At 43.4% G+C, this 14,904-nt stretch overlaps 1 long non-coding RNA gene across 2 annotated transcripts in view; it reads right to left on the bottom strand.

The window, feature by feature from the left end:
* The window catches only part of LOC105371241 (uncharacterized), a 50,969-nt gene extending 36,276 nt beyond the window's left edge, over positions 1 to 14,693 (bottom strand). Inside the window, exons 1-5 of one of the 2 annotated variants that reach the window (XR_933517.3) lie at positions 14,360 to 14,693; positions 12,989 to 13,054; positions 5,934 to 6,124; positions 2,927 to 3,025; positions 1,902 to 2,021 (exon numbers count right to left, since the gene is read on the bottom strand). This is a non-coding gene — a long non-coding RNA (uncharacterized LOC105371241). The remainder of the gene's footprint in view (positions 1 to 1,901; positions 2,022 to 2,926; positions 3,026 to 5,933; positions 6,125 to 12,988; positions 13,055 to 14,359) is intronic. The other variant, XR_001752138.3, reaches the window with a different exon arrangement.
* Between the last annotated feature and the right edge of the window lie 211 nt (positions 14,694 to 14,904).

Below are 14,904 nucleotides of genomic sequence, written 5' to 3' on the forward strand. Positions count from 1 at the left end.
ATTTTAAGGCTGTTTATTACAACTCATCTGCTTGGACAAAGACAGTAATTTATCCCAGATGCCAGAGCTTTTTAGAGAAGAGTCATTGTGTTAATAACAGAAAACCTAATGGAAAATAGAAAGAGTTAATCCAAACACAGCACACTGTGAACATTTAGCTCCCATTGTCTGCATCTTCAAGGTCCTTATTCAAGGTCTATATTCTCTGACCACATTAGGAAACAGTAGGGTACAGCCCTGGATTCGCACTGTGAGTTCAGATCCTGGCTCTGCCACTCATTTGTTGTATGACCTTGGGAAAATCATTAAATTTCTGTAAGCCTGAGTTTTCTCATTTGCACAATGTGCATAACAACATGGCCTACCTCATAGGGATCTTGTGAAGTTTCAATGAGGAAAGGTAGGCAAGATGCTAAACACTGCAGCTGACACATCAATGAACAGAAAATGTCATTCTTTACTACTATTATTGGCCACATTTGAGCCTCAGGAAATCCCAAGAGGTAAGAAGGTATCTTTATTCCTATTTTACGGGCTGGGAACTTGGAGCTGTAGACTTTTCCAAGGCCCCTATCAGCAAGCAGTATCCCACCCCGGACTTTGGATCTTGCAACTCCTGATTTCCTGCTATTCCATGCAGGATGGCCACTTTCCCTCTACGTCTCAGTCATGACACTCACAGCCACCTCAGAGGTGGTTTCACTGTTTCCTGTTAAGATGCCTTTTCCGATGAAGGCTGCTGTGGCACAGCTGATGCCTAAGCTGACAGCTCTCACTGCTAAGGTGCCATGTCATTGCCAGGCATGCAGGAAAGTCTGCTCATTCCTGCCTGTAGGCACTCTCTGGCCTCTGCTCCCCATCATCCTTCCTCCTCCCCACAGCCAGGTCTGCATGGGGGCCAGTGCACCTCATTAGCATCTCCCACAAGCACAGGTGCTAGACTTACATGGGAGGACTCTCCCTAGGGAGATACACTCAAGTATTTAGTGGTTACTGTACCATAGTATTTTCTCAAAGGACAACATTTAAGAGGCAGGGTGGTGTATCAGAAGAGGAAAGGATTTATATTTTATATTAGTTAGGATTCATTCAGGTACAAATAAATGACACCAACCCAAGACAGCATAAGCTATTTCTATTGATCTATCTATCTATCTATCTATCTATCCATCTCTATCATCTATCGATCTACATACTATCTATCTTTCTATCATCTATATATTTATCCATCTATCCATCTCTACCTATCTATCATCTATCTATCGATCTATTATCTATTTAGCCATTTATCCATCTCTTTCTATCTACCTATCTATCATCTATTTATCCATATATCTATCTATACCTATCTATCATCTATCTATCGACCTATCTATAATCTACTCTTCTATTATCTATCTATCCGTCTATCCATCTCTATCTATCTATCTACCTATCATCTCTCTATCTACCTACCTATCATCTGTCTATCCATCTCTATCTATCTACCTACCTATCATCTATCTATCTACCTATCATCTATCTGTCTATCTGTCTGTCTGTCTGTGTATCTAGCTATCATCTATCTACCTATCTACTATCTATCTGCCACCTCTCTATCTACCTATTATCTATCTATCTGTCTGTCTGTCTGTCTGTCTGTCTGTCTGTCTACCTACCTATCTATCTATCTACCTATCTATCAGTTCCTCTTTCTAGTACTATGACTGGTTTCAAGCTCTGCTGGATCCAGAAGCTTCAATAATTGTATCAGGACCTGACCTCACACTGTCTCTCAGTTCCAGTTTTCCTTGTCTTATGTCCATTCTCAAATAGAATTTTTTTGGTGGCTCCCAGACGATCTCTTTAGAATGGGAGATTTTCTGTTTTCAAGAATTTCAACAAAAGTCCCGGAACCAAACCTTGCTGACTCCACTTGGACTGTGTGCTTCTTCCTGAGCCTGTCACTGTCATGGTGCTCTGGTTGGCTAGGCCTGGGACACCTGCTTCACCTGCTTCTCTCTGGAGTTGGGGGGAGTCAGCTGCATTTGAAACACATGGACGGAAAATGGGAGAAGTGTGATTCTATAAAGAAAGTTAGGAGGTGATGTTGCTATTGAAGGGAAAAGGGAAACTGGTCAGACAGAAAGAAATAAATGCCAGTACATCTAGGATTTTAGCAGCATGGAGTCTGGTTCCTGGCCCTAGCTTTCGTCATTTCTAGGGACTCAAGCAAGTCATCTTTTTCTTTGCTACAGTTTCTTTGTTGTGGAGATTTGTCTCTTGAATCCTAATTTTCTGTACTTTTACTTGGATACTTCCCAGGGTACTCACGATAGTATCCATTGCAGAGTTCAGAACTGACTTGTGCTTGCACTGAGGTGCAATGAATGTTTATATTTCTATTGTACGGTAGAAAAATTGCCTAATCAATTTTTCAAATTACCTCACATCAGCTGACACATCAGTGACATGTTACATTTCTCCTTGATCTCAGGAGATGCCTACTTCTTAAATATCAACAGCTGGTGTTTGGTTTTAAATTTCTTCTGTGCAACTGTCCCCATAGGGTCTCAGTTGGGTTCCAATTCTTGAACTGGTAATATTGCTTTAGAAAGCAGGATCTTTATAATAATAAACATTCTGTGTGCTTCTAAAATTCAGATAAACTGCTTAGATAACAGAAGGGTTATTAAAAGGTACAAGTTCTCATTGTTAATATTTTTAGTATATAATAATAATTATTATTTATCATGTATTGAACACTCCTAGGTGCCAAGAACTGTACTAAATATTTTACATACACACTCTCACTTAATCCTCTCAAAATGCTCCCAAGTCCTCTCTCCAGTCTGAGTATTGGAGGTTCTTGTGTTTTCTTCTTTCCCTTTTCACCATCCACACCATCCTATTCTTTGTAAGCAGTGTTTTCTAATATATAGCTCACCTTCTTCTCTGGCTTCTCTGTTTGTTTTTGCTTCCAGATTTATTCATTGCTTCTGTTAGGGTCACAAGTGGCCAGGTGATATCCAGGTAACACATACTCCTTTTGAATGCAGAAGGTAAGGAAGAAACATCAAACCAACAGCTCCTTAGGCCAGAAGTGGCTCCCCTCCAACACCAAAAGCCATGCTCACTTGGAGAGGCAGGGCAGAAAATTCAACACACAGACCCTGTCAATGTTGCTGAATGAGGGTAGCAGTGCTGTGTAAGTCAGGGGAGGCTGTGGTAACCCCTGGGAGTAACCTTTTCCATGCCGTGTGTCCACAGAGCAGGGCAAGGCCAGCCCTAGAGCTAAAGAGATCCACACTGGTGGGAGAACAGACGTTCCAAGGAATGCCAGAGGGGCCTCATGAGCTTAAAACTAACAAATGAACAAAGTCAGTTTGAGACAAATAATTAGGTAGGTGTCCTCAGTGCCCGGCATTAATATGTTTGTGTTTGTACACCAGCAAGCCCTTAATAAATATGTTCTTTCCTGTCCCATAGAAATAGTCTGTAAATAAATAACAGGACATCCCACTTTTGCTGACAAATCATTTTTCCTTTCTATCTGGGTGCCAGTTGCACTTTATAAATGACTTTAATTTACAGTGCATTATGTTTCCTTGTATTTCTTGCCTCTAAATCCCCATGCAATATTTTGTATCCATTCCCATGATAGTTTAACTGTCTTTAACCTTTTCAGTGAGGGGTGTGTGTGTATGAGTATAAATATGTGTGTTTGTGTGTATTTGTGTGTGTCTGTGTGTGAGTATCTGTGTGTGTTTGATAACACCATACATTTCATTCCATCATTTCTAAATGGATCAACTCAACATTGTCATTTTTGCCATGTGTTTTATGATCATTGTCTTTCTATGAACATCAGTTGTGTTTGCTTTGTGGAAATCTGGTCCCTGGATGGCTGCGGCCAGAGCAAGCTGATCACCTTTGGTGTGAACAGACATTGAGTTGGGCTGGGGGAGTTCATTGTGGAAGTCAAAGCGGATGTCACTGACCAGACTTGTCAACCATTTCAAGTGAAATTCTCTAAAAACTCACCTGAAGCTTTCCCCAGAAAACACCAAGGTGCAGTATTCAACAAAAGGCAAACTAATAAGAACTACTATTTATTAGGTACCTACTGTGTGCAAAGTCTTCTACTTGTACAGTTTCATTAATCTTCATAAAAATGCCCTAGGAGGTGGGTATTATCATCATCATCTCCACTTGAGAGCTTGAAACTGAAGCTCAGAGAAAGTGAAGTTAGTAAAAAGCTCAGCTGCATTTGAATCTGTCACCAAAGTCTTCCTCGTCTTGAATCTGACTCTACAGGGTGCGGGGATAAGGACTTTGCATACAGAGTCAGGCTATTTTGCCAGTGTTGTGTGCTCTTTCCTTGTAGCTTGGCCCTAGGCTGCCCATGAGTTTGCCAAAGGTGTACTGTAGCCCACTCTGAGGCAGGTCAGGGCAGAGCACTGAGGTTGTGCGGTTGAATGCAACTGACCCTGGTGCCTGAGATTCTCACAATCTAGTGAACTCCTAGACAAGCCAACAGACACCCCCACTCCATTGCAAAGTAGAGACCCATCCATCCATCCATTCACTCATTCATACAACAAATATTTATTCAACTCCGTGCTAGGCACTGTTGTAAGTACTGGGGTTACAAGACAGACAATAGCTCTGAGCTCACACTAAACAAACTAGTAACATAACAGCCAATAATTAAGAGTGTTCTGTCTTAGTTTTGTAGTGCTGCCACAGCACACTACCATGAATCTAACAGCTTAAAACAACAAACATGTATTATCTCACTGTTCTGTAGGTCAGAAGTCCAGAAAGGCACATGTGAGCTCTCTGCTCCAAGTCTCACTAGGCCGACATCAAAGTGTCAGCCATCTGGACTCCTATCAGGAGGCTCTGGAAAGAATCTTCCAGGCTCGTTCCGACTGCTGGCAGAACAGCCAGTTCCCTGTGGCTGCAGAACAGAGGTCCCTGCTTCCTTGCTGGCTGCAGCCTGGGGCCACTCTGTCAGCCTCTGGAGGCTGCCCGCCTTCCTTCTCATCTCATGGACCCTACACCTCTTCTCATCAGCTACTGTGCATGCTTGGAATCTTGCTGCTTTCCTTTTCTGCCCTTACTCTCCGCATTTAAGGGCTCATATGCTTGTATGAATCTACATGGATAATCCACAATTATTAATATCTCCCTATCTTAAGGTCAACTGATAAGTAACATTTATTACATCTGCCGAGTCTCTTTTTTCCCCATAAAATTACACCCTCATATGTATACCAAGGGGCAAGGAGGGCCAAAATGCAGAAAAAAATAATGTGATCATCATTCATTCAACAAATACTTATTGAGCACCTATTATACACCAGGCACTGTTCTAAGTGCTGGTTATACCTAGCCTCCTGGAGCTTACCTTTTAGTGAGAAAAAGACACCAAAAAACAAGAATAAATGGGTAGAAGTATATGCTGTGTTTGGCATTGATAAATGCTATGGAGAAAGATACATTGAGACAAGTCTAGGGAGGCATTGGGAATGTGGTTATACTTTGAAACAGAGTGGTCAGGGAAGGGCTCACTGAGAAATTCAAGGAAGAGAGAAAGCACACCATGCATGTAACTGGGAAAAAATTTTCTGGAAAGAAAGAACAGTAGGTGCAAAAGTGGTGAGGTGGGGGCATGCCCCACAGGTTCAAGGAGCAGCAAGGGAAGCAGTAAAGTAATAAAACAGGAACGAGAAGGACCCTCGGAGAGAGCAACGACCAGGTCATGTGAAGCTGGGGCATGGCGTGATGGTAAGAGGAGGTGCAGGGTGGAGACGGAGGTGCTGATTTAATTTTTGTGGTCAGAGAAGGTGTGTATTGGTCAGCTATTTTTGTACAACACATTAGCAATTCAAAATCACAGATGTTTGTTTTCTCAGTTTTTAAGGGTCAGGAATCTGGAAGTGGCTTACCTGGAGTGGGTCTGGCTAAGGGTCTCTCACAAGTCTGTAATCAAGTTGTCAGCTGGGAGCTCAGTCATCCGAGGCTTGACTGAAGCTGGTGGATTTGCCCCCACATGCAGTTGTTGGCCTGCAACTTCTGCTCCTTGCCAAGCACGTCTCTGCACGGGACAGCTGGAATAGCTTTCCCCAGCGCAAATGATCTGCAGGAGAGGAAGATGTCACACTGTCTTTTATGACAGTCTCTGAAACACACACACACATGCACACACACACCTTATTTTGTTCTTTAGACCCAAGTCACTAGGTCCAGCCCTCACTCAACAGGAAGTAACTACACAAGATTGTGAATACCAAGAGGTGGGTGTCACTGGGGCCACCTCGGAGGCTGGCTGCCACAGAAGCCTTCTCAAGAGATGGGATATTTGATCTGAGGGCTCAATAATGAGAACGGTCCAGCCAGCTCTTCCAGGGCAGCCGGCTCTTTCAGACAATAAGCCTGAAAGAAGCTGCACCTGCTCCTTGGACAGAGAGAATGAGATATTCGCACAGACTGTGGTTCTCTTCATTCTCACCAAGTCCAGACTCATCATGCCTCCTCCACCTCTTCAAATGCTTCCCTTCTTCCTCCTCCACTTTCCTTTCCCATCAGGCCAGTGGAGTTTATAGTTGAAACTGCATGCCCCGGGTGTTCCTGATCCCCTGCTCTTTGCTTAGGCTATTCTCCTACCCAACATGCCACCACCTCTTCCCTACTTCCCTAAACATGGACGATACTGAGACCCAACCCAAGCCACCACCTCCTCTCAGAAGCCTCCCCTGTTGTTGCAGCCCATATTGATCCTTTTTCTGAATCAAGGATGCCTCATAGCAGCCTTGGATTAACAGAAAGTCTGGTCCCATTTCTATCTGTGACTCATGTCTCCAACTCCATTGTAAGCTCCTGGGTACAAGGGCTGTGTTGTACTCACTCCCGACGTTCCTAAAGACCCCTGCCACAGTTGGAGTCCTGGTGGTCAAGAAATGGCTTACCCAGATGGGGTTATTTTCGTAGTATTTTATTAATACTCTGAAACAAGACTTGTTTACAAAGTTTAGAGAAACTAATAAAGGATAGTATGGTATCCAGGACTGGCCAAAGCAGGGAGCCAATACCCCCACCCGCATCCCCCCATCAGAGGCATGAAGGAGCAAAGGGAGCTGGCAGTTCCCCAAACTGGGGAGAATAATGTAAAGGAAGAGCCACCTGATGGGAGAGGTGTCCTGCGGGGCCAAGCCACAATGACCTGGCAGGAGAGAACGAGGAATAAAGCCTCGCCTCTTGCTCCTCCCATCTTCCTATCCTCATTGGCAGCTTTCATCAGCCAAATGCAAGCAGAAGCCAGGAGGCAGGGGAGTCGGACCATGTAGTTCACATAGGTCAGCCCCTGAGGTGCAGCAGAGTGGAGAAGAGTAGAGAAGCAATCTGGAGAAGCCAAAAGACTCCACAGTGTAAGACTCAGAGCTGGAAGCCTGCTTGGTTCTCTAGTGCCTCCTCCCAGCCTGGTACCCAAATCTCTGCTGACAAGACATCTGCCCCATCTGCAGTCCCTTCTCCCATACAGTTAATGTGGCTCCATAGCTGTCTAAAAAGTGCATCTCTGAACCATTGACTTTGTGATGTAAATATCCCAAGAAAGCAAATCATATTTGTGCTGGGGTTGACCCTTTTCATGTTCATGGTAAGCTGACAACGAAAGTAGGATCTTTACTCCCTGGCGAGAGCAGGTGCCTCCATGATTAAGAAGCATGTTGGAAAGGGTGGGAACATTGGGCTCTATGATAATTGGCCCGTTCTTCCATCTGGTCCCTTTACAATGCTTGGAATTTATAAAGCCACTGCTGGAGTTTATGCAAAATCTCTTACTTTTAATTAAGTGGCCTAGTTTCAGTAAATAGTGTGACAGGGATGAATCTGTCAGTAGGGACTGATGTTATGAGCAAAAGAGCTACCAGGACTGGTGGAAATGCAGTCCCCATATGGAGAGACTTGGAGGGAGCTGCTCTGGCAGGACGCTGCCATTTCAGTGATCACAGACCAAACAGAAGCCTCCAGACGCAATTCTGGAGTGAAATGAAGCCAAGACTGTCTGCTTCCTAGGAGAATAGCTGCAGACCCTAGACTGCCCTGTGGACGCCGCAAGCCCAGAACTCACACAGCCGAAAGGGGCTTATGGACCATCTTCCCAGCTGCTGGGCCCAGGGCCAAAGATGGGGGTGGATCCGTGGTGCAGTTTTCACCACAGTCCAAAGAGAAGTGAGAAAAATGACAACAAAGTCAGCTCTTTAAAACTAATGTAAAATTCGGCCGGGCAAGGTGGCTCACGCCTGTAAGCCTAGCACTTTGGGAAGCCAAGGCAGTTGGATCACTTGAGGTCAGGAGTTCAAGACCAGCCTGACCAACATGGTGAAACCCCATCTCTACTAAAAATAAAAGAAATTAGCTGGGCATAGTGGTGCACACATGTAATCTCAGCTACTTGGGAGGCTGAGGCAGGAGAATTGCTTGAACCAAGGAGGTGGAGTTTGCAGTGAGTCAAGATGGCACCATTGCACCCTAATCTGGGCAACGAGAGCGAAACTCTGTCTCAAAAACAAAACAAAACAAAACAAAACACACACACACACACACACACACACAAAAACCACTAATGTAAATTCCATTTAAACAGTTATTTTTAATTTTGTATTCTTATACATTGTATTATTCCTTCTTTCTTTACCTGATATGAAACTGTCTTTTGTTTAACAAGAGATTTTAAAAGTAGACAGTCAGGTTTTTAAAAAATGTATAGTTTCCTAACTTGAGCTCCATCCCCCGCACCACACACATACACATTAGAAAATATGAGTGGTCCATGAAATCCCAAGCACTGGCCACTCATGGTCTAACGATGTGTCAAGATGCCCATGTTCAGATGGAGAAGCTGAGATTCTGAGATTTAAAACAGGTCCAGGAAGGCGGGTGGAAAACTGTCATCCCACAGCCTTGCTGCTTTTCCCCAGCCCCCACAACACCGTGGTGACTTAACAGTGGGGGGAGGAGGCAGGGAGCCTGGGAGCACCCTGCAGACTTCTGCCGGGGCATGCCTCCTCCAAGTGAGTCACCCCGGCCTGGCACTCTGGGAGTAGCATAACAGAAATGCCATCACCCATGTTAGAATCAGGCTGTGGCCCCTCCAGCTCTCTTCTTCCTTGACTTCCACGGGATTCAGATGGCATCCATATCTTCAGCTCACATTTTTAAGGTTCACGCTTTACTGCCCAAGAAGATGGACCAGAGATTTGAAGTTAAGCAGGCCTGGCCTGGCCACTTAACCAGCAGAATCTCAGTGAGTTTCCTAACCTCTCTGATTCCCCAGTGCCTGATCATTTATTTGCTCTACACTCCACTAAAACTCCAGGTGGGCAGGGACTGTGCCGATCTTGTTTACAGATCTATCTGTAGCACCTAACACAGGGCCAGGCTCATAGCTAGCACCTAGAAAATACACTTAAAAAAAAAACTCATTCTATAACGGTTTCAAGACTACAAGCCCGCATCTATGGAATGGATGTGATAATGATACCTTTCTCTTAGGTTTCTAGGAAAGCTTTGCAAAATTATGAAAATTATGGCCACAGATACACTTGCAAATTGCCAAGTTCCCTACCACCCAGACACCAAGGACAGTAGCAGGGAGTGTCAACGTGACCAGGGAACAAGATTTCCCATGATCCAGTCCTGGGAGACATCAGCTGTGTAGCAGAATTCATGGAAATCCAGCAAGGTCCAGAGCTGGCCCTACAGAGGCTCCCAGAGAAGCTCCCCAAGAAAACAAATCAAAGGGAAGGCTTTGAGCACATCCCCACTCTCCACCAGACCCAGGCTGCCTTACTCAGGTGTCTTTCCTACCAGGAGACACTTTCACAAAGTTGGTATTTGTGTCACACAGGGAGATTGTAAAATGCTGTATTTGGAAACATGAATGTGTAATGTCTCCCTGGAAATCTACACCTTCTCAGTGAAAGATACAAGTGCAGTCCAAGACAGACATGTTTAATTAGTGGGCAAACTTGACATTTCCAGTGTTTGGACTAGACAGAGGGAAAGCCAAGAGCAAACCGAGGTCTTCTCTTCATCCCCTCCCCCAAGCTTGCTGACAGAGAATAATTTATTGGGTTTAAAGAAAAATGAATGTCTTTACAGCAACAGGAGAGAAAAGGCCAGGAGATCCAAGAGTGGTTATTAAATAACTGTCACCACTAAACACGCGTCTCCCTCATCTTCTCCATGCCTGCCCTTCTTGGGCCCCTGCTTGATCAAATGCATATGCTCATGCTGGCGTTTCTGTCCACCCAGAAGGGTATACTGAGGTATGACTAAATGCCAGATTAAATATTTGGGCTTCATCTCAAGGCAACCGTAGGCCTCATTGACTCCCAGGTCTTGGGTGCTGGGCCTCAGAGGTGCTCTTGTGTCACCCACATCTGAGATCTGCAATTCTAATTTTTTGATATGTAAGATATCTGAGTCCTCCTTATCTTTCTCAGGCTCATGATTGCTTGCAGTAACTTTCTTTCTTTCTTTCTCTTTCTTTCTTTCTTTCTTTCTTTCTTTCTTTCTTTCTTTCTTTCTTTCTTTCTCTCTCTCTCTCTTTCTGTCTTTCTTTCTTTCTTCTTTCTCTCTTTTTCTTTTTTTCTTGGAGACTGTGTTTCACTCTGTGGCTCAGGCTGGAGTGCAGTGGTGTGATTCATAGCTCACCATAACCTCAAACTCCCAGGCTCAAATGATCCTCCTGTCTCAGCCTCCTGAATAGCTGGGACTACAGCTGTGTGCCACCATGCACATCTAATTTTTAAAATTTCTGTAGAGAAAGGGGTCTCATTATGTTTCCTAGGCTGGTCTCAAACTTCCAGGCTCAGGCAATCATCCCACCTCAGCCTCCCAAAGCACTGGGATTACAGGCATAAGACACTGTACCCAGCCAGCTTACAGTCACTTATTAACTGGTCCCCACCCCTCCTGCCCTCCCACCACTCTGAGTTTACACATTTCTGCCAGAACAAGTTTTGCAGAGCATGGCTCTGTTTATGTCTTTTCCCTTTACCAAGCTTTTCAGTAGTTCCTTACTTATTAAACAAGATTAATTGAATACCTTTCATGGCCAAGCCCTGGGAGTCAATGATACCTACAGTTGCCTTGAGATGAAGCCCAAATATTTAATCTGGCATTTAGTCATACCTCAATATACCCTTCTGGGTTTATTCCTCCCAACTTTCTCCAATCTTGCACTTTTTATTTATTTATTTACTTACTTATTTATTTAGAGACAGGGTTTCACCTCTTGCCGATGCTGAGTGCAATGATTTGATCACAGCTCACTGCAGCCTCAGCCTCTAGGGCTCAAGTAATCCTCCTACCTCAGCCTCCCAAATAGCTGGGACCACAGGTTTGTGCCACCATGCCTGTCTACTTTTTTATTTTTTGTAGAAATGAGGTTTCGCTATGCTCCCAGGCTGGTCTTAAACTCCTGGACTCAGGCAATCCTCCCACTTCAAAATGTTGCATTTTAGACACATCCACAACCCATTGGTTCTCTGATACTCCCTACATATCTCCATCCTCAAGTGCACCTTCACTGAAGAACTTCTTCGTTTTGCAGTGTTGAAGACTTTTCATCTATTTTTTATTCATTACTGGCCATTATTTACAAGACCAGGATTCTTACTGCTCATGCCTTTGCTTACACAGATCCCTTCACCCAAATGCTCCTCTCTCTTCCAGCTCCCTCGTTCAGCTTGGCCTCATTAATGGCCAAGCTAAATGTCACACCTGATGCTCCTGGTGGTATTATCATTACCCACCTTCATGTTGCCATAGAATCTTCCTTGAAGTCCCCTTACACTACCTGCCACACTTTACCCTATAGATCATGGAATAACTCAGAAATTGATAACCAAAAGAACATAACAGTCAGAGTTCAATCAAAAGAAAGGAATCATATGATAAATGTTTGAGGTGATGAATATCTTAATTACCCTGATTTGATCACTATCCATTGTATGCCTTTAACAGAATATCACATGTACCCCTAAAATATGTACAATCATTATGTATCAATTAAAAAGGAAACCACTCTGATATGTCAAACAGAGGGAATGTAATTGGTTACACAACTAATGGGAAAACAGAAAAATCAAGCAAAGGATGAAAGTTAGCCAAAGATTGGTGATGGTAGAAGCTGCTACCACCACAAGACTGGTGGGCGGGCAGGAACTGGGAGGAAGGGGGTTACCAGATCCTGGGTTTCACATCATCCAGCAGAAGTTGGAAATGTGGTAGGTCATTCAGTGAGGGCTAGAGCCTCAGAGGAGACGTGACCTCTAGCAGAGATGTTGCTGGAGGCCATGGAGGGAGATGTCCTGCCTTCTTTCTTCTTTCCACCATCTGAACCCAGATGGGGGTGAGCTGGCATGGGAACCTGAGGCTCTTGGCTCCATGATATAGAGCACGGCAGGGCAGGAATGGGGAATTGCACAGCTCGCATGCAATACCTCATGCTTCTAAAACTAGAACACTTCATTTAAGTAACAGCATGTTTCATTAACTCATCTCCAGCATGAAACCTTACATAACACTTTTAAGGAAATGCAAACCCTTCAGTGTAGCTTATTTCCCTTATTTACCCTCCATTCCTAGCAATTCTTCACTTTGCTCCAGCCACCCTGAGCCTGACACCGAGGAGAACCACCGTGACCTTTCCCTGGGCTGACGCTCATGACTCATTTCCCACCAAGCTCAGCTCTTGGTTTGTGGAGTCACTTCATTTGCCCTAAGGAGACTTCAGTGGGTTATTCTCTAATGCTCATGACCCAAAAGGCTTACACTTGCCCCGTTGGTCTCTTCCAGGATGTCATGTTTTCCTGCCATGGCAAGGCTAAGGGAAGTGCTCCACCAGGGGACAGCAGAAAGTAAGATGAAGGCTGTGGACTCAAATCTCAGGGTTTGAACTTCAAACGCACACCCCGCTCTCTTGGCTACTGACCTTGGGCATTGACTTGATCTCTGCAGAGTTACAGCTTGCAATGGGAGCATCTACCTCATAGGGTTACTGTGAGGATTAAGTAAAATGATACATGTAAAACAGTTGGCCCAATTCCAAGTATGTAATGCATTTAGTAGCTGTGAGCTATCATCATTTTTCCTTTGCAATCAGAACAGCCAAAACATCATGAAAGCCCATGGGTTGTGTTGATGTAGCAGCCAGCTCCACATTCTCCAACAACTTTGTTTTTAATCAGGCAAATATTCTTTTCATAAATACTTTTTGTGTCACTAAGTCCAACTAATTTCCAATGTTTCAGAATCAGTCTTGGAATGTTACAGCTGGTAGAGAGCTTAAAGATTGTCTGGTTTAGTTCTCTCTCACTACATAAAGAGGGACAAAAACACAGGGTAAATTCTTCCTCTGTATATATATATTTACATATATATATACACACACACACATATATATAGATAGATATAGACATAGATGATATAGATATAGATATAGATACAGATATAGATATAGATATAGATATAGATATAGATATAGATATAGATATATCCATACATACAGTCATGCACCACATGGCATTTCGGTCAATGACGGACTGCGTATATAACAGTGTTCCCGTAAGATTATAATATCACATTTTTATTGTTTTTTTCTATGTTTAAATATGTTTAAGTACACAATGTGTTGCAATTGCCTACAGTATTCGTCATAGCAACATGCTGTCCAGGTTTATAGCTTGGGAGCAATAGACTATAACACATAGCCTAGGTATGTAGTCAGCTATACTATCTAGGTTTGTATAAGTACACTCCATGATGTTCACACAAATGATGCAATTACTTAATGGTGGATTACTCAGAACATATTTCCTTCATTAAGCAACGTAACATATGACTGTATATATCACAGCAAAAAGAAACAAGAAGAAAACATATAAGCATTTATAAACTTACCACTTAGAGATAAGTTACCATTTTCTACATAACCATTTAGTCTTTCTTATAAATATTTTTAAATAAAGATGAAATTGTAGCATACTTACTGTTTTAAAAAGTAACTTTTTATCCAAATAACACCATTTCTTCATCATCTTTCCATGTCTTTACATATCATTTTTAAGAGCTTCACTTCTCTATTTTATTTAATAAATCCCACTTTTTAAAAAATTGGAAACATTTAGGATGGTTCCAGTTTTTCACCATTATAAACAATGGCCCCAAAATGCTTCTGAAGGGAACAAAATACCACCTTTTCCTCTGAGCACTTTAAGTCATTTGGGCTACAAAAAGCTGTTGAGTTTTCAAGCAAACTGTCTGGTTTCTTCAAGCTGCCTCCTCCAGCAAGAAGATTTCTTACCTGTTGTTACATGAACCTGTTCTTGCAGCATGTCCATGAGGTGAGCCCTTGTGGAGCTGCAATGAGTGAGTCTGAGGAACAGATCTCATCTTGGCTGGCTTCCTTGGCCTTTTGCCAGATAAAATCTATCCAAATATTTTCCCCAGGTATGGGCCCACGTTAGAGGCACAGGGGCTTTACGTGAAGCTCCACAAATGCTTTCTTAAAGATGATGCGTGATATCACAAGCTGACTCTATGATGTGTTTTCCCATCCTCTGCCTTTTCGGGACCTGCAGGGCAGGCTTTGTGTAATACAGGAAGCTTCTGAACTGAGAGCAGCCTCTGGGAGCATCAATCAGACTCCCCAGATTAGAAAGAATTTAGAAGTAGTGGCCAATGCTCTTGAGATGTGGCCAATGATGTTGCAGTCTTTTGTGTAGTCATAAAAGTCTGGTGTCCTGGAGATAACTATGGGGCACTGGGAACAATCCCTTGCCCCAAAACTTATTCTCCAACAACCTGTGACAGTTCCTCAAGCTCTGCCCTAACAAGATATTAAGGTAA

This window comes from Homo sapiens, chromosome 16 (assembly GCF_000001405.40).
Source record: "Homo sapiens chromosome 16, GRCh38.p14 Primary Assembly".
In the NCBI taxonomy this organism is placed as follows: Eukaryota; Metazoa; Chordata; class Mammalia; order Primates; family Hominidae; genus Homo; species Homo sapiens.